The sequence below is a fragment of the Homo sapiens genome, chromosome 13, assembly GCF_000001405.40.
Source record: "Homo sapiens chromosome 13, GRCh38.p14 Primary Assembly".
NCBI classification, from domain to species: Eukaryota; Metazoa; Chordata; class Mammalia; order Primates; family Hominidae; genus Homo; species Homo sapiens.
The window spans coordinates 27,071,831-27,092,177 of record NC_000013.11 but is presented as its reverse complement, the minus strand read 5'-3'; the positions used below and the strand labels follow the sequence as shown (position 1 = coordinate 27,092,177).

The 20,347-nt window shown below is 39.0% G+C and overlaps 1 protein-coding gene and 1 pseudogene across 2 annotated transcripts in view, besides 1 other annotated feature; one reads left to right on the top strand and one right to left on the bottom strand.

Annotated features, from left to right (window-relative positions):
- Nucleotides 1–20,347, top strand: part of USP12 (ubiquitin specific peptidase 12) — a 105,656-nt gene that overhangs the window by 79,634 nt on the left and 5,675 nt on the right. For both annotated transcript variants that reach the window (XM_005266282.3, NM_182488.4), the window contains exons 5-7: nt 2,020–2,096; nt 2,212–2,295; nt 16,790–16,987. In XM_005266282.3, the coding sequence (XP_005266339.1) occupies nt 2,020–2,096; nt 2,212–2,295; nt 16,790–16,987 (359 nt within the window). The remainder of the gene's footprint in view (nt 1–2,019; nt 2,097–2,211; nt 2,296–16,789; nt 16,988–20,347) is intronic.
- Nucleotides 14,224–14,960, bottom strand: RBBP8P2 (RBBP8 pseudogene 2; annotated as a pseudogene).
- Nucleotides 17,434–17,934: an enhancer, noted in NCBI's record as "H3K4me1 hESC enhancer chr13:27648381-27648881 (GRCh37/hg19 assembly coordinates)". NCBI's record gives its function as "activates a minimal SCP1, AML or CMV promoter by ChIP-STARR-seq in primed H9 embryonic stem cells {active_cell/tissue: H9 hESC(primed)}" and the evidence as "EXISTENCE:reporter gene assay evidence [ECO:0000049][PMID:30033119]".

Sequence of the window (20,347 nt, the reverse complement as noted above, 5' to 3'; positions counted from 1 at the left end):
TATCAATACCATGCGTGTTTTGTTAGATTTATATTTAAGTATTCATTTTGGGGGGTGCTAAGCACCAACTATGCCAGGTAGAAGATGGTAGAAGATGAGTAAGACATAAGCCTCTGATCACAAGATACTCCTATGGTAATGAAGACTGGCAAAGCAGTGTTCAGGCAGTTCCAGTACAGTGTGTTATCGTATGTGTATGCACAGGATGCCATGCCAGCCAGAGAATAGTAGACCTAACCCAGGTGGGAGTGGGAAGGATTTGGACAGGTAAAGGACCAGCTTCCTGGAGGAGCTCATGCTTGTATTTTAGAAATGCAATTGGTAATGTCTCAGGTGGTAGGAAGCTGGTGTCTATAACACCCTTTTCTGGTGTTCTCTATGAGGGTTCCTTTTCAGTCTCATTCCTTGGCTTCTCTTTTTCCATTCTTTAAATGTGGGTGTTCCCCAGGGTTTCATTGTCGGTTGCTTCTCACTCTGAATTGGGAGGATCATGATCATGTTCCATTTTATTATCACATGTGCTGATGAGTCTCAACTCCAGATCTCCACCCTAGACTTCTTCCCTGAGTTTTAGACTGGGATCTCCCCATATTGTGCATGACATGACATTAGGACATATTAGTCCAATAGCAGCCAGATGTCTTTACAACCACTTTGAAAAGTGGAATACTGTCCTACTTGATGACCGCTTGGCACCAACTCAATCGCAAATATAAACGTAGTAACTCATGCACCCAGGTGATCTAGAGCATCCTTGTGTCTAGGTTTTTACATGATCATAAAAGGAACATTTCAAATGAAGACCCCTGAGGCAGTGTCTGAGGACTTCATTTTGAGGAATACAAAATTGATTTTGAGAAACACCAGACTGTGTAACTTTTACTTCTCTGTAGCTTACATGTAAATTCCGGCCTGATCTGGCTAGCCTACCTCTGCCATACTATCTCTTGTCACCCTACCCACTTTTCTACAAAATTGATGTGTTTTCCTTAAACATATCATGTCCTCTTTTTTTCTCTCTGAGTTGTCTGTGTTCCCTCTTCTTTTTCACCAGACTTTTTGAGACTCAGGTCAGTTATCTTGTAGTGTTGCTGTATCTTCCATCGTACAGTGGAATGGCATCTTACAGAAGGGGTTTCGGTCCTATGGTTAGCTTAATGTTGAAGTCAGGGAAAGTCAAAATCACCATTGGAACTCCCTTCAACTGTCTATAAAATACACTATGCACAGTACCTTGGTTTACGTATATTTGCATAAATACATACTTTGTATAGTCACATGTTGTATGACAACTTACTGAGTTGTTCGATGAACAACTCTATGTGCTAATAATAATTTTGATGTATTAAAATGGGAAAGCATTTGCTTAACTGAGTGGAGAGGCACAGGTTGCTGAGTCAGACGTATCTCCTGTTGCACACGTACCTTCAGGATGGACTTGCTGAAGGAAATAGCTAGGAAGATTTATGTCTAAAGTTCTGTCCTATTCCAGTTCACATGAGCAAGTGATAACTTTATAAGAAGATTATTTACCCATAAATCAAACAAAACTTTATATTAAATTTTTAGGAGAAATAAAGTCAGTCACAAATGAAGAATGTAATTTAACATTTTGGGCTAAATTTTTTTTTTAATGACAATACAGATATCCTGTCCTGTGTGAAGCATTTTTATTCAGTCTTGGCCTATGTTTTTTTAAGAATCAGTGTATATGGTACAGTTTATTTCATGCTTTAAAATAACACAAAGACTTTGGAAAGTCATGAACTCTCACATCATACTAGCCTTTGCCAGTGAGAGTCAGTCAAAAGTGTACTTTGGTGTTTTATTTATACATCTGGTAGGGGTTATTTATTCAGTGTCCTTTTGGATAATCCAAATTAAGTAGTTCTCTTTTGAACTTGAGGGAAAAGAATTGTTTACTTACTGATAATAATAGAATGGCATTTAATTCTGTTAATTGGGAACTGTGGTTTACTAGTATTTGAAAAAATCAAAGACAATTCACTGTTTTTACAGATAAGCAGCAAAGATGAAGATTTTTTAGACCTTTCTGTTGACGTGGAACAAAATACATCAATTACTCACTGCTTAAGGTATATGTAGAATTATTTAGTTTGAAATTTAATAATTATTTTTAGTCTGGAATATTTTTTAAGATACATGATTTCCTGGTATCTACAAAATAAATTTGTTTTGAATTTCACACAGGGGTTTCAGCAACACAGAAACTCTGTGCAGTGAATACAAGTATTACTGTGAAGAGTGTCGCAGCAAACAGGAAGCACACAAACGGTAATTTTAGAGCTTTATGGATTTTTAAGTGATTTTATTTTTTGTAATTGATGTTGGAGGTGGGCTTAGAAAAACAATCTAGGAAAATTTACATTGAGTAAAAATTCTTAATTCTATCACTAACAGTTAATGTTCATTAAGTATTACTAGGTAAATGATATTCTACTCAATGTTTATTTTACAAAAACTGTGTACCCTGAAGTGATTTCCTATGTCTAGCGATTATTTAATCATCATAAACCAGTACAGTTAAAATATTTGGCTTTGAGGCTTTCCTGATGATGTAAACTTTTTTCTTGGTGAAGAGGGTTGAGGGAGATAGCACTCCCCATTGCCCATCCCCCACACCCCCAGTTTCTGCTTTTCCTACATAGGATGTTGTACATTCTCTTAGCATGTTATTGTAAGACTGGTTTGGTATCAATAAATGGAATAATAAACATCATCATCATCGTTACTTCTTATTTTGAAACAGTCTCAAACTCAGAAAAGTTGCATGAATAGACCAAGAAAGCTTTTTTACCCTAAACCATTTGAAAATAAGTTACTGATATGTACCTCATGGCCCCGGCACTTTAATAGGTATTTCCCAGCAACAGGGACGTTTTCCTATGTGTGCACATCCATCCAAATCCAGAAAGTAACACTGACATGCTACTGTTACTGCAAACCTTATTTTGGTATCACAGGATGTACCGGTAATGTCCTTTATAGAAGAAGGATTCTGTCCAGAATCCCACATTACATTTAGCATTCGGTCTCTTTAGTCTTTTTCAATTTGGAAAAGATTCTCAGTCCTTTCTTGACATTAATGATTCTTGACTTTTGATAATCATAAGTTAGTTATTTTGTAGAATGTCCCTTATTGGAGTTTGTCTCGTTTTCCTGTGATTAGATTCAGGTTATGTATCTTGGACAGGAATCTTACAGTGTTTTTCTCATCATGTCCTGTTAAGTAGCATATGTGACTTGATTTGTGCCATGTGTTGGAGTATCCCCAAGATCACTTCTAGGACAGGTGATTTCCTAGAAGGACTCACAGTGCTCAACATCCAAGCGTGCTCACAGCTAAGATTTATTACAGGGACGGGATACAAAACACAGTCAGCAAAGAGAAAGCCAGGCAAGCACCCAGAAGTCAGTGCCCCAGTGGAGTCACAAAAGACTATTAATTCTTCCCACATTGAATTGTGACAACACAGGAAGCTCATTACAGACTGAGTGCCCTGAGTTTTTATTTGGGGCTAGTCATGTAGGTACCCTCTGCCTACCATGCCCCCAAATTCCAGACTCCCAGAAAGAAAGCAAGAGTTCAGCATAAACTGTCTTGTTTGTTCAAACAATTTAGGCACAGCGAGACACTTATTATTTGGCAAATGGTGGGAACATGTCCAAAATCCAAGTTTCCAGATGCTAAAAAGGACCATCCATGCAAGCACGCCATTTTTTTTTTTTTTTTTTTTTTTGAGACGGAGTCTCGCTCTGTCGCCCAGGCTGGAGTGCAGTGGTGCGATCTCGGCTCACTGCAAGCTCCGCCTTCCCGGATTCACGCCATTCTCCTGCCTCAGCCTCCCGAGTAGCTGGGACTACAGGCGCCCGCCACCACGCCCGGCTAATTTTTTGTATTTTTAGTAGAGACGGGGTTTCACTGTGTTGGGATGGTCTTGATCTCCTGACATCGTGATCCGCCTGCCTCGGCCTCCCAGAGAGCTGGGATTACAGGCGTGAGCCACTGCGCCCGGCCGCAAGCAGGCCTTTCTAAGGATAGTTTGAGGCCATGTGAATCCTTTTCTGAACCTCCCATTACTGTTCTTGGCTGTTATTGAACATTTGAGTGAATGTTCCCCAGATGTTTTACAGAGTTCTTCACTTAATCTTTATTTTTTCTCATTGTAATTTAGAAGTATTTTATGTGGAAGCATTTTGAGATTGTAAATATTTCATTCTTCATTGAACTTTCATTTTATTCACTTTTAAAATCTTACAGTGGACCCAAAGGTTCCTGTTTTATTCAGTGGATTGTTATCCATTAGCATTCTTACTTCCATGCTCACATTATCTCCAGTCTGGCCAGGGGGAGTTCCTCCAAGCTGGCTCCTCTCTTCTTGATGTGCCCAGTCATTCTCCAGTATTTCTTTCCTTTCTGACTCAAGCTGTTCAGGCTCATTTTGCTCTTTCTTTGCCCCTACTCTGGAACAAGCCATTTCTCCAAGGAGCCCTGGTTTCTCTTAGGGGAAAACAATAAACTAGGACCTTGTACAGTTGTGCTCGTTGCTATTGGGATGTCATTGTTCCTGAGCCCGCTTAGTGAGCAGAGCTAGAGGATAGATGAGTATTTATAAATACACACACACTTTTCACATCTGCATTTATTTCTCTTCTACGTCTATTGATCTCTTTATCTGTACTGAAAACCGTGAATACACAGTGATAATCTTGTAGCCACCACCACAGTATTTGTAATTCCTTTTTCTGACAGTACAGTTGGCTGCTATTATCCTTACTAGATTTACTTATTTGGTCATTGCACCTTTAGGTAACCCAGCTTATTCTCTCTGCCTTCCTGCCCCCGCTCCCTGCATGCACACGAGCGTGCGCGCACACACACACACACACACACACACACACACATCCCTCCCCACTATATTTACTTATTTGGTCGGTGCACCTTTTGTTAACCCAGCTTATTCTCTCTGCCTTCCTGCCCCCGCTCCCTGTATGCACACACATGCATAAACACACACACACTCTCACACACGCACACACACACACACACACACACAGCCCCTTCCCCTCTGCTTTGACTTCCCCCTCTCCTGCCTGTACAGATGTCTGTGTTATTTGGCCCCATCAAATAGTTGAATTGAGTTGTTCATTAAGGGAGGGGAAGAGCTCAGATTTTTAAGTGATTATATTTTTGTTTTGGACACAGACATTTCCTAGGAAGGAAAGTGTTTTTGGTAATGGACCACGGAATCAAAACAGATTACTCACTGTTTCTGTCCATTAGTGCATATGATGGGGAGCACCTCAAAGAAGTTTAGTCAGAGGGATAGGGGCTAAAGCATTACATTCATCCTGAAAATGCCTTAGAAAGTACCTAAGACCGTTGGATAAGTAAGAGTCAGGGACTAAATGTAGCTAAGAGAAATACAACTTTCAGACTTTACTGACTATATGGAGGAAGGCCCATCTGTGAGCAAAAGCCACCCTTTCCCTAGAATGATGGTTATACAAGTAATCACATGTGAGTAATTGAGAATTGTCTGTAAAATCGAGCTCTTTGTTTTAAAGACATGAAATTTTAATGTATTAGAAAATACATGAAGAATGTATATTCTTTGTAATTAAATTAGAAAATACGGATAAATGTAAATCGAGAATCACTATAAAAGCTATAAAATGTTAACATTTTTGTGTATATCTTAGATTTTTAAAGTGTGTATGTATATACACACATAGTCCCTAAAATGCTATCAAACTTTATGTACAAGTTCGAAACTTTTTCACTTAAAAAATTGCAACCATGTTAATGAAAAAATATTTTTATATCCTTCTTAGGAGGTGCTGCATTGTGTGTGTGTGTGTGTGTGTGTGTGTAATTATATATATGTGTATGTATATGTATATGTGCATATATATAAAATATATGTATATGTGCGCATATATATATATATATATATATTTTTTTTTTTTTTTTTTTTTTTTAAAGAGACAAAAGATCTCTCTCTGTCACCCAGGCTGGAGTCCAGTGGTGCGATCTTAGCTCACTGTAGCCTCAGACTCCTGGGCTTAAATGATCCTCCTACCTCAGCCTTCTGTGTAGCTGGGACTACAGATGTGTGCCACCGTGCCTGAATAATTTATTGAATTTTATTTTTTATAGACGGGCTCTTGCTATGTTGCCTAGGCTCATCTAGATCTCCTGGCCTCAAGCAGTCCTCCTGCCTCAGCCTCTGGTGTAGCTGGAATTACAGGAGCTAGATACCACGCCTGCTGCATAGTATATTTTTTTTGTATGAACATACCATAGTACCATGTATCTACCAGTTGTCTAAATCCAACAATTTAGATTTTTTACACTGTTATAAACAGTGATTTGATGAACAGTTTTGTGTGTATATACACATATTCCCCACATATTTTTGGACACTTTGTAGGATAAATTATGCATAAGTTTCTGGAAAGACAACTTTACAGAAGTTACATATTTCTCATTAGGATCTAGTATCAACCTGTTAATTTATGGTGTGATATTGAGCAATTCATTTAATATTTTTGACCTTTACTTGGATGAATTCACTTCTGAAAGTTTATAGTTCTCCGTCTTGGAATAATAGGATAAGCTTGTGTTGAGTATACAGACCATAGTTCTTAGTAAAAAACCAAAAATCAATTTGACGGCCAGATGCGGTGGCTCACGCCTGTAATCCCAGCACTTTGGGAGGCCAAGGTGGGCAGATCACCTGAGGTCAGGAGTTCAAGACCAGCCTGGCCAATATGCTAAAACCCCGTCTCTACTGAAAATACAAAAATTAGCCAGGCGTGGTGGCACACATCTGTAATCCCAGCTACTCTGGAGGCTAAGGCAAGAGAATTGCTTGAACCTGGGAGGCAGGGAGGCAGAGGTTGCAGTGAGCTGAGATGGCGCCACTGCACTCCAGCCTGGGCAACAGAGCGAGACTCCATCTCAAAAAAAAAAGAAAGAAAGAAAGAAAGAAAAAAGAAAACATTCCATTTATAATACTATTAGAAACAATAAAATACTTAGGAATAAACTTACATGGCAGAAGACTTGTATATTGAAAATTATAAGATGTTACTGAAAGAAATTAAGACACAAATAAATAGAAACACATCCTGTATTCATGGATGGAAGACTTAATATTGTTAAAATGTCCATACTACCCAAAGCAACCTAGAGATTCAGTGCAGTCCCTATCAAAATTCCTATGGCATTTTCTGCAGAAATAGAAAAAAACATCCAAAAATCCACATGGAATCACAGAAGACCCTAAATAGTTGAATAATCTTGAGAGAAAAGAACAAAGCTGGAGGCATTAAACTTCTGATTTCAAAGTATATTACAAAGCTAAAGTAATTAAAATAGTATGGTACTGGCCTAAAGACATATATAGACCAGTGGAACAAAATGACCCAGAAATAAAACCATACATATACAGGCAACTGATCTTCATCAAGGGTGCTAAGAATGAATACATAGTGGGAAAAGGATAATGTCTTTAGCAAATGGTTTTGGGAAAACTGAATATCCACACGAAAAAGAATAAAGTTGAACCCTTACCTTATGTCATCTACAAAAAATTAGCTCAAAATGGATTTAAGACCTAAAACTATAGAACTCTTTTTTTTTTTTTTTTTTTTCATCTCACTGTCTCTCCAGGCTGGAGTGCAGTGGCATGATCTTGGCTCACTGCAACCTCCAGCTCCCGGGTTCAAGCGATTCTCCTGCCTCAGCCTCCTGAGTAGCTGGGACTACAGGTGTGCGCCACCATGCCCAGCTAATTTTTGTATTTTTAGTAGAGACGGGGTTACACCATGTTGGCCAGGATGGTCTCAATCTTTTGACCTTGTGATCTGCCTGCCTTGGCCTCCCAAAGTGCTGGGATTACAGGCATGAGCCACCACACCCAGACAGGAATTTGTGTGTGTGTGTGTGTGTGTGTGTGTGTGTGTGTGTGTGTGTGTGTGTATGCAAACATGGATTTATGAGTGACAGACTTCAAGTGCATATTTTTTTTGTAGTTAAAAAGATAACAAAATGTATAACCTAGTTTGAGACCAGCCTGGCCAACATGGTGAAACCCTGTCTCTACTAAAAATACAAAATTTAGCCAGGCATGGTGGCAGGCGCCTGTAATCTCAGCTACTTGGGAGGCTGAGGCAGGAGAATCACTTGAACCTGGGAGGCAGAGGTTGCAGTGAGCCGAGATTGCGCCATTGCACTCCAGCCTGGGTGACAAGAGTGAGACTTCATCTCAAAAAAATATATATATATATATATTCTCCCAAAAAGGTTCATCCCGAGAACACTGAAGAATAATTTTTGGGAATGTTAATGATGTGCCACAAAATTAGTATTTTATGATCAAATGAATTTGCTTTATAATATTTTATCTAAATATTCATGCTCCTGAAGACTCACAAAATAAAGGAAACTTTATCCAGCTTTTTCCAGAATTTACTTGCACATAGACTCCATTTATATAGCATGCCTATTGAACTCTGTAAATAGTGCAGTTCAGGAAAGATAGCAGTGTGGGAAATGTCACTCTAATGGTCATATACGTTTATCCCATGGGAGGTTAAAGCATATAGGTGAGAGGAGAGTGATCGCCCTGGGGAACTGTAATGAGAAAGGATTGATGGCTGTTTCAGTTGTTGTTTTCCTGTCCCTGGCTGCTGGCATGGGGGCAAGGGGGAGGCTGAGGCTCAGGTCTTAGAGAACAGAACATTGCATTTCACTTCACAGCACCTTGCAGACCCTGTGGTTTTTACAGATTGAAGGTTTGTGGCAACCCTCTGTTGAGCAAGTCTATCAGTGCCATTTTTCCAACAGCATGTGTGCACATTTCCTGTCTCTGTCACATTTTTGGTAATTCTTGCACTATTTCAAACTTTTTCATTATTATATTGTTACGGTGATACATGATCAGTTATCGTTGATGTTGCTATGGTAACTGTCTTGGGAGCACCATGAACTGCACCCATTTAAGATGATGAACTTAGCCAGGTGCAGTGACTCACACCTGTAATCCCAGCACTTTGGGAGGCCAAGGTGGGCAGATCACCTGAGGTCAGGAGTTTGAGACCAGCCTGACCAACATGGTGAAACCCCATCTCTACTAAAAATACAAAATTAGCTGGACGTGGTGGCGCATGCCTATAATCCCAGCAACTCGGGAGGCTGAGGCAGGAGCATCACTTGAACCTGGGAGGCGGAGGTTGCGGTGAGCCGAGATCACGCCATTGCACTCCAGCCTGGGCAACAAGAGTGAAACTCTGTCTCAAAAAGAAAAAGATGATGAACTTAAATGTTGTGCGTTCTGACTGCTCCACCCACCTGACGTTTTCCCCCTCCTACCTCTCTCTCAGGCCTCTTTATTCCCTAAGACACAACAATATTGAAATTAGGCCAATTAATAACCTTACAATGGCTTCTAAGGGTTCAAGTGAAAAGAAATATTTACATGTCTCTCACTTTAAGTGAAAAGCTAGAAATGATTAAGCTTAATGAATAGGGCACGTTGAAAGCCAAGATAGGCTGAAAGCTAGGCCTCTTGCACCAAACAGCCAAGTTAGGAGTGCAAAGAAAAAGTATTTGAAGAGAATTAAAAGAGCTACTCTAGTGAACCCACAAATGATAAGAAAGCAAAACAGCCTTATTGCCAAATGGAGAAGTTTGAGTGGCCTGGTTAGAAGATCAAACTAGCCACAACATTCCCTTAAGCCAAAGCCTAATCTAAAACCAGGGCCTGTCTTCAGTTCTATGAAGGCTGAGAGAGGTAAGGAAGCTGCAGAAGAAAATTTTGAAGCTAGCAGGGGTGGGTTCATGAGGTTTTAAGGAAAGAAGCTGTCTCCATGAGATAAAAGTACAAGGTGAAGCAGCAGTAAGTTATCTAGATTGTCTAGCTAAAATAGTTGCTGATGGTGGCTACACTAAACAACAGATTTTCAATATAGAGGAAACAGTCTTCTATTGGAAAAAGAGGGTGTTTAGGACTGTCATAGCTAGAGAGAAGTGAGCGCCCAGCTTCAAAGGACAGGCTGATTCTCTGGTTAGCGGTTAATGCAGCTGGTGACTTTTAAGTTGAAGCCAGTATTCATTTACCATCCCTAAAATCCTTGAGTTCTTAAGAATTACGCTGAATCTACCCTGCCTGTGCTGTAGAAAAGAAACAAAGCCTGGATGACAGCACACCTGTTTATAGCATAATTTACTGAATATTTTAAGCTCACTGTTGAGACCTATCACTCAGAAACAAAGATTTCTTTCAAAATATTACTGCTTATTGACAATACATGTGATCACCCAAGAGCTCTGATGGAGACGCACAAAGAGATTAATGTTGTTTTCATGCCTGCTAACATAAGATCCATTCTGCAGCCCATGAATCAATGAGTTATTTTGACTTTCAATTGTTATTATTTAATATTTTTTAAGTCTACAGCTGCCATAGATTGAGATTCCTCTGATGGATCTGAGCAAAGTAAATTGAAACCCCTCTGGAAAGGATTCACCATTCTGGGTGCCATTAGAATATTTGTGATTCATGGGAGGAGGTTAAAATATTAACATTAAAAACAGTTTGGAAGAAGTTCATTCCAACCCTCATTGATGACTTTGAGGGATTCGAACTTCAGTGGAGGAAGTCACTGTAGATGTGGTGGAAACAGCAAGAGAACAAGAATTAGAAGAGGATCCTGACGATCTGACTGAATTGCTGCAATCTCATGATCAAACTTGAATGAATGAGAAGTTGCTTCTTATGGAAGATCAAAGAATGTGGTTTGTTGAGATGGAATCTACTCCTGGTTAACATGCTGTGAACATTGTTGAAATGGCAACAAAGGATTTAGAATATTACATAACCTTAGTTGATAGCAGCGTCAGGGTTTGAGAGGATTGACTCAATTTTGAAAGAAGTTCTGTGGATAAAATGCTGTCAAACAGCATCACATGCTACAGAGAAATCTGTGAAAGGAAAAGCCAGTTGATGTGGCAGACATTCTTGTCTTATTTTGAGAAATTGCCTCAGCCTGGATCTTGCAGTGAGCCAAGATCGCGCCACTGCACTCCAGCCTGGGCGACAGAGCAAGACTCCGTCTCAAAAAAAAAAAAAAAAAAAAAATTGCCTCAGCCACCCCGACCTTCAGCAACCACCATCCTGATCAGTCAGCAGTCATCATCCTTGAGGCAAGACCCTCCACCAGCAGAAAGATTATGATTCACTGAAGGCTCAGATGATCATTTTTTAAGCAATAAACTATTTTTAAATTAAGATATGGACTTTTTTCAGACATAATGCTGTTACATAATACACTACAGTATAGTATAAGCATAACCTTTATATGCACTGGGAAACCAAAAATGTGTATGACTTGCTTTATTGCGGTCTTCACTTTATTGCGGTCCTCACTTTATTGCGGTGGCCTGGAACTGAACTTGCTGCGTGTCCAAGATATGCCTGTATTTCTGTCACTACTCTGTGGGATCCAATGATTAGTGACAGTACGCTGGGAGCTAAGCTCCTTGCCTTCTCATCTTTCCTCTCTCAAGTCTCTTTACTCTCCCTTTATTCCGTGTGTGCCTGACCCCACTTCTGGGACCAGTCCTGTTCTTACCAGGTATTGAAGAAGATCCATGCATGGCCAGGTGACTCAGCATCACATTGTCATGGCCACAGTCCATCTCTGAGTATCTGCCCTAGATTTAATGATTGAATGGCTTCCTGTTTGTGAGATGAAGGCCCTACCTTTTGCTTCATTTTCCTAACTAGATCCATATCTTATTCCCCTGTAGCCAGTTCCAGTAATGGTAACTTGTGTAGTATCATGTCAAAATCATATCAGCAATAGGGATTTGCTTTGCTGTAGTCAGCATCTGCAACCACCTGTTGGCACACACACCCCCATGCAAGTCTTCTGGAATCTGAGTTGGGTGGGTCCTTCCATCTGTTGAGAAGTTGATGCCTCCTGCCTCCCTGCCTGCATGCCTACCTGGATCTCCAGATGTCCATCACTCAGTACTATGTTTTATATACATGTTGGGGTATGTCATGAGCCTCATTTGTGCCTGTGACCCATCCCCCATTTTAACACATGCTGGAGTTCAGGTTCTGCTGCCTAAATGTCCTCTCATTGCTTATATCTCACTGAGTCACCTTAGTGTCTTTCTCACATAAAGCATTCTATTTGCCCTGACCCCCTCATTGTAATGTGTCACAATTAATCCTTGTTGATGGTACATTTTAAAAGGGCATGGAATTCAGTCCTTGGAACTGAATGTCTGTACAATTATTAAGCTTTTCTGTGTGGTCAGGACTTCTCTGCTGACAGGATGTTGGTAAGTTCTTAAGTGCCTGTGGCTGGGGTATTGCATTCATCTGTGGCAGAGCTTGCAAATAGTGTCCTCTGGATCAGATTCCATCTAAAGAACTCTGGCTCACACAATTTATAAAAATAGGAAATTTACTTTAAAAAACGTTTCTGACTATTGAGAAAAACAGTTCAGATTCCACTGGATTCCAGGGTCTGCATTCCATCCCATAGTGGTGTTGCTTGCCTGCGGCTGGGTAGTTGGTATTCCGGTTGAGGGTGGTTGCAGGCAATGTCAGTCCTTCCTCCAGCTCCTCCCCTAGTCCTTTGGAATACTTAGCACCTGATGGCTCTGGGAAGGACTCCCCCTTGGGCTACTGGAGAAGGGAGTTTCTGGAGTTTGGTTCAAATTCCAAGTCTTTGACCAGTCACTGACAGGTGCTAAAGAGCATATAAAACCCCAGCTACCTTGTGGTCAAGAGAAATCTGAGGTGAAATTTAGACTCTGGGGTTCTCTGACACTGAGCTGAAGCCACTCTTCCTGGGATTTTGCTTGAGATTGAATCCTTACCTGGTTTCCTTCCCTCTCCCCCCACTCCCCCCCGCCCCACACAGGGAGCACGACATTAAATCACAGGCCTGGGACTTTCTGTCTCAGGGTCTGCTCTAGGGAACAGGACCTAAAATGAGAGGATGTTGTAGTCTCATAATAATCATCCATTTAAAAATATATTCTAATTTCCCTTGTGATGTTCTGTTTGTCCTATGGCTTATTTGGAAATGTGTTGCTTAGTTTCCATATCTGGGGGGATTTTCTAGTTTTTTTTTTTATCAGAGGACATACTCTGATTTCATCTTTGAAATTTATCGAGACTTCTTTATTGTCCAGTACATTAGTGAATGTTTCGGTTGAACTTGAGAAGAATGTGTATAGTGCAGTTTGAGGTTGAGTATTCCATAAATGTCAATTAAGTCCATAGTTAGGGTGTTCATATTTTCCTATCCTTACTGATTTTTTTTGTTAGTGAGAGAAGTCTGTTAAAGATTCCAATTCTGATTATGCACTTGTCTATTTCTATAATTCTTTCAAATTTTGGAGCACATGCTTTTAAGATTGTTATGTTCTCTTAGTTAATTGACCTTCATTATTATGAAGTATTCTTTATTTCTGGTAAGACTCCTTATCTTGTATGCTTTGTCTGACATTAGTATAGCCAGTTTACTTAGGATTAGTGTTTACATGGTATGTCTTTTCCCATCCTTCTTTCTTTTTTGAATAGTTTTAAATTATAACTAGACATTATCAAGAAAGGCAACCCCCTGTTATGTTAGAATACAACATGGATGCAGTTTGTCATTTTAAAGATGTAAAAGCAAGAAAATGCATACAGTTATGCTCCGTATCAGTTGGTTCCAGGACCCTCACATAGAGCAAAATGCATGGTTGCTCAAGTCCCTGATATAAAATGGCATAGCATTTGCATATGACCTATGCACATCCTCCTATGTACTTTGGTACCTAATACAATGTAAATGGTATATAAGTAGTTGTTACACTGTATTTTTTTAAATGGTATTATTTTTGTCTTTTTAAAAATTTTTTTTACTTATTTATTTTTTGAATATTTTCAATTCATGGCTGGTTGAATCTGTGGATGTGGAACTCCCAATATGGAGGGCCAAGTGAATAATAGAAATTCATCCAAATTTTAAGTAGTTGGTTATGTGGTCAGTAAATGTCATTAAAAAAATAAATTTAAATAGAAAATTAATTTATATCTGTTTACAGAAGATTTTTTAAAAATCAGTGTTTATTCAAACTTAAAAGGAAAAAAATGTTCTCTGTCCTCCTGTTTTTCCTTCAAAATGTTTGTCTTTTGTAGAAAACATTATGTTCTAAGACCACTTTTTTTTTTAAAACAATGACAGTGATCAAGACCTCCCTAATGTAACCTCCCTCCCCACAAGTTTGAATGGAAGGAAAGCCAGAATCCTATAAATTCTTTGGTGTTTTGGTGACCTTAGTGTTTTGAGCAGGAAATCAACTTCTTTTTTCTTCCTTCTGCTGCAAAATCTACATAATGAGTTTCAGACTCCTTACACGTATGTTCAAGCAGTTTTCTGCTTTTTTTTGGAGCCATTTCAATATGAGGGAAATTTTGTAAGCTAGTCTCTCATCATCTTTAAAATATGGCTCCACACATATTTTTGCTTGACAATTCCATGGGTAGTTGGTTTCTTTGTGGTAGCCAGCACTTCTCCTCTGGGAGGATCTTTGGCAAATAGGATTCATATTCTTCATGTGTTATCTTATTAAACATATTGTATCTGCTATTATTGAGATATTTTCTCTTTTCTGCATTTGGACTCCTCCCCTTGTGTAATTTCTAAAAGCACATTTTCCCTAACCATCGGGCCATGTTCATTCTCTTTCCTCCTCCTAATCTTACCTGACTGCCATTTATTAATAGTGCACTGACACTCATTTTATGCTCAGAAAATTCTTCTTTTGCATCTACCATCCATTGGAAATTCTCAAAGGATACCTTGTTGTTTTGTAAAGATTTCTTTTCAGTAACTCTATGTGGGTTTAATAAAAGGTCTGATGTTTCATAGTTGAATTATATTTTATGTATAATTTTATATCCTGACTTCTTAAGTATTTTCTTATGTCACCTAGAAACTTTCATCAGCATTGTTTTATTTAAGTTGTACAACACTCGGTTATGTTTGAATTCTAATTTATTTCCACATTTCCTGTTGCTGAATAGTTGGGATTTTTTACAATGTAAAAGAACTCTAATAGGAGATTATTCTCATAAGGGATGTTTTTGAGATTATACATTTAATTGTATTTCCAGAAATAGGATTACTGAGACAAAGGCCATAAAGGCTCCTAATTTATATTGGTGGATTGCTTTCTAGGAGTGACTAGGTGTTTACCTTTACTTTGGCTAATGTTTCCAAAAGGCCAAGTTCATTCACTAGTAAGTAATTTAGGAATAATAAGCTATCCACCATATTTAAGAAGTGTAGAATGCAGATTTAGTATAATGTTATAAAATGATTTTTTTTTTCACTTATTAGAGGCAGTGGCTTACCATATATCACTTCTTTAAATTGTGAGGAGTATTTTGCTTCACCAGACCCATTTAAAATTCAGTTCTGCAGCATTTGGCATCTATCATATGTCAGGCATGTTGCTAGATAGTGGGGAAATAAAAATGAAGGGAATGCTTTCTAGCTGCCAAGAGTTCAGGGCCTAGAAGAAAAGAACCATAATCACCTAAAATTGTTACCATGTAATAAGCTTGACATATATAAAGTGAACCTGTAAGGTGCTGATGGAGGATTGAAGAGAGCAGGTGTATTTGTGCCAGAGGGTGTGACATTTGAGCTGAGCCATTAAAAGAAGAATAGATTTTTAGGTGAAGTAGGAGTACAAAGGCACTCTCAGGGAGAAATGGCATTTAAAGGCATAATAAAGATTGTTTAGAACATGAAGAACAGCCTGTGTTTCACAGTTAAAAACTTAACTCCTAAGTTTCCAGGTTATTTTACTCCCTTTCTAGGATATACATTGTCATTTTTCTTAATATGGAGTTATTTCTTGTCTCTGACAAGCACCTTGATTGGTCTTTAGTGCTTTTATTGTTTTAGTCTCCTATTGTCAGTCTGTACCTGCATCATATAGATTGATAGAAAAAATAGATTTCAGTCTACCCAAGTCCAAAGGAATTGTCAGTTTCAAGAAACTTGTTTTCCCTCTACCACTCTTTTTTTTTTTTTTTTTTGAGACGGAGCCTTGCTCTGTCACCCAGGCTGGAGTGCAGTGGCGTGATCTCAGCTCACTGCAACCTCCGCCTCCTGGGTTCAAGCGATTCTCCTGCCCCAGCTTCCCGAGTAGCTGGGACTATGGGCGCCTGCCACTATGCCCGGCTATTTTTTGTATTTTTAGTAGAGACAGGGTTTCACCATGTTAGCCAGGCTGGTCTTGAACTCATGACCTCAGGTGATCCACCTGCCTCGGCCTCCCAAAGTGTTGGGATTACAGGCGTGAGCCACCGCGCCTGGCCTTCCCTCTACCACTCTTGAGCACCCCGTGCATTTAGCCTTATTATAAGAGACGTGTGTTTGAAAAATACAGATTCCTTAACCAAGGACTAACGCCATTCCATCTGTTTTGGAGCCATATTGAGTGCTGTGTCAAATTATGTGGTGTGACAATGATGGGTAGGGTGGGGTCATATTAAGATGTTCAGAATGTTGTTTTGTCAGTATAAAAATAATTGATAGAAATGTGCAAAACTGGGCATTGCTGGGCTATTAAAACTGACCATTGTCTATCTGTTCATTGGATATCGTAAAGTTTGATAATTCAAGGACATGGTGGATATCTTTTATGAAATTTTGTTTTCATTTTTATTTTTAATAGGATGAAAGTTAAAAAACTGCCCATGATTCTAGCTCTACACCTGAAGAGATTTAAATATATGGATCAACTTCATCGATATACAAAACTCTCTTACCGGGTAGTTTTTCCTTTAGAACTTCGTCTGTTTAACACTTCAGGTGATGCCACCAATCCAGACAGAATGTACGACCTTGTTGCTGTTGTGGTTCACTGTGGAAGGTAATTGCAACTCCGGGGACATAGTAGTGGAATTCCTAGGTTAGAAGAGCAGGGTACATTCAAGATGTTCATGAATTATTCATATATAGAACTTTTAGAAATTCTGTATTCTCTCAAGATAATTTTATTTCAAAATGGAGTTTTAGCTTTATGTTTTATCATTTCTTAAAAATTTTATATGTTAAAATATATTGTTTTTATTTTTATTATTTATTACTCTACAAGTACTATATCTGATTTCCTAGAACTTTGAGATCTGTTAGTTTTTCTTTTCCTTTTTTGGGGTGTGTGTATAGAGGGTTGTTGGTTAAAATAAATCACTTCTGAGTTTAATTGCGTATGTTCAGCATATCAATGGTTGTAAAAAGCATTTTAAAATGGCATTGGAAATAATCTTCAAAGATTCATTTTTTGATTTTACCTGTGTGTGTATTTATCATTTCTTATTAGCCAATTTTGCTTTCTGTCTTCTTCTCATCTTCTTTTCCAACATGGTATACACATCTTCTCTGTATGAACGTACATACCTATAATTGGCCTTATTAAATACCTCAGAAAATTCTCAAACTGCAAGAGCATCACATAATCAAAACTTGTATTTGGAACATAACTGTCTTCATTGACTGCTTAGAATTTCCTTTAATAATTTTAAAGCAGGCACTCATCATTTTCCCCTTGGTTTTGGGAAACTTGTACTAACAGCATGTTTTATCCAAATAAAAAAAGTTACAGCTTTCTCATCTTCAGCCCTCCTCCCAGCTCTCTGATTAGAATTTTTTTTTTTTCTTTTTGAGATGGAGTCTTGCTCTGTGGCCCAGGCTGGAGTGCAGTGGCGCCATCTCGGCTCAGTGCAAGCTCCGCCTCCCGGGTTCACGCCATTCTCCTGCCTCTGCCTCCCGAGTAGCTGAGACTACAGGCACCCACCACCACGCCCGGCTAATTTTTTGTATTTTTAGTAGAGACGGGGTTTCACCATGTTAGCCAGGATGGTCTTAATCTCCTGACCTCGTGATCTGCCCGCCTCGGCCTCCCAAAGTGCTGGGATTACACGCGTGAGCCACCGCGCCCGGCCTCTGATGAGAATTTTTAAGGACAATCTGGAGGGAGCAAATGCTCTTTAATAATCGTCTTCTTCCTCCATTGCCTGGGTCAGCCTTGGGTCCCGTCTTTTATCCTCAGCAAGAATCTTTCTTCTACTTCTAAATTAAGAGTGATCACATCTTAAAGGAGTGAAGCAGTGTCAAGATTACTTAAAGAACCTTGGTGTAGTGATTCAGACCGGGTTTTCAGAGTGAGAGAAACTTGGATCTCAGTACCATTTCTGCCAATTGTGGGCAGTGTAACGTTATGCATAGCTTCCTGAAAAGCCTTCAGTTTTCTCTTCTAGAAAATGTAAATAATACTAATTACCACATTGCTTTGTTAGGATTCAAAGGGAGATGTAAATCGCTTAGCTACTGCTACTGTTCTATTAACAAAAATGTAATATTACCTTCTCACATCTTAGCTTTATAATATTTACTTTCTCACACCGATTAGCCTCTTCAAATTTAGTGACAGTCCTACTCTACTTAAATCATGCTAGATTTTTAGAATTGCTCTACTCACAATATACTGAGCTGAGATGCCTGACTCATTGGGGAGGGGTCCCCTCCCCACTCTCCCCTTTTAAAATTAACCCAACTCTTTCCCCAGCCTTAAATCCTTAAGTCTCTTGACCCTTTCCCTTTTTAACCTTTTCTTTGGCCTCACTTGCTTCTCCCAACTTGAACTCCACAGTCAGTTATTTAAAGCATGTTCTCACAAGCACTGTAAAATCCTCTTGCCAGCTGTCTGAATCCCTACTGTCAGAATTGTTGCAGAAAATTGCAGAGAGATGTTTATTGACTTTCCTCACAGCCCTGGTGGTCTGCCTTCACTGGGAACTCTCTCCTGATGGAGTTCTGCACAGCAGGTCTTTGGTATCCCGCCCCCACCCCAGGGTCTTACTCTTTCTCCTGTCTCACTCTCATTGCCTCATGCCTTCCTGCCCCTCCGCTCTGGAAGTCTTCCTTGACGCTCTTCTGCCCAGCCTCAGTCTCCATGTGGTGCTGCTCCATTGTCTTCACATAAATACTAGACGTGCATTGCTAGCCCTGTCTTAGTGCTTTATGTACTCTCTTAGGATGTATGTCTACTTCCCTTATGAGAACAGGTGCTTTTTAAAACAGAAAATAATTTGCTCACTAATAAAAGACTAATCATATTTTAGAATCTTTTTCCATTGTGTATTTTATTTATCAGACTTATTTGTAGATTTGCTTCATATGAAAGTGTGGAGGGTGTGCGCAGCCTCATTATCAGCATGTCAGTTCCAGTTCAGCTTGCTCCTTCTCTGTCCCCGGTGCCCAGCCTAGAAGAGACTTCTAGCAAATGTTTGTTGACTTAAGTATTACCCTTCAAGCCCATGTCAAAACTGGGCACCATTTCGTGATTTCCCATCCCTCTCTCCCTTCTACCTCCTGTCTTGCTGGATGAGGTCTCTCCTGTGGCTCTACTTTTATATCATATTCTTCCTTGGATTATGTTTTTGGAGTAGTTATCTATTGTACTGAAGGGGTATTTGGGCAAGCAGTTGTTGGTATCTCTTTAATCTCCACAGCAATCAATAGTTATTTGCATACCTTACGCATTTGTATCTACTCAACTGAGTGTGTTTAATGTCCAGAAATCAGATGCCTAAGAAACAACTTCCTTAGGTGGAAGTTCAGCCCTTCATCTCTCATTTCATTTTTAGTTTATGAAATTAACTTTTGTCTACTGTTCCTCAAACTAGTTCTTTGCCAAAGGAAAAAGCCGCCTAACTTTTTTCAATTTACCAGTCCTTACCCCACCCACCTCCTTTCCTTCCACCCTGTGTTCTGCAACCTTTCTTTGATTTTTCTTTATTTCACCTTTTATAATTTTGTTTTCATTTCTGACCCTCTCCCCATAACACACAAGACCCTTTAGATGAGCCTAAATAAATACAGAAATAGACTTAAAGCATTAAATGCTTTTTTAAGAAAAAGTTTTGATGTGTCATCCTCCATAGTTAAAAAAAAAAAAGTATTTTTGTTGGTGTCATTCTGTCAAAGATATTTATCTCACCTACAGGATCAAATGATCTGAGAAACATAAGATATTATAGTAGGTGGCTTATTCTAATATCTGGTCACTACTTTTAAAATAGTGTTCACCATAAAGAATAATTTGTGTTGAAAAGGATTTTAACTTCTGTATTAATTATAGAATTACAATTTAATAAATATAATTATATGAGCCTTTATAATGAACCATACTTAAACTGGAAGAGGTTAAAACCTTTGTCATATCCTTTTA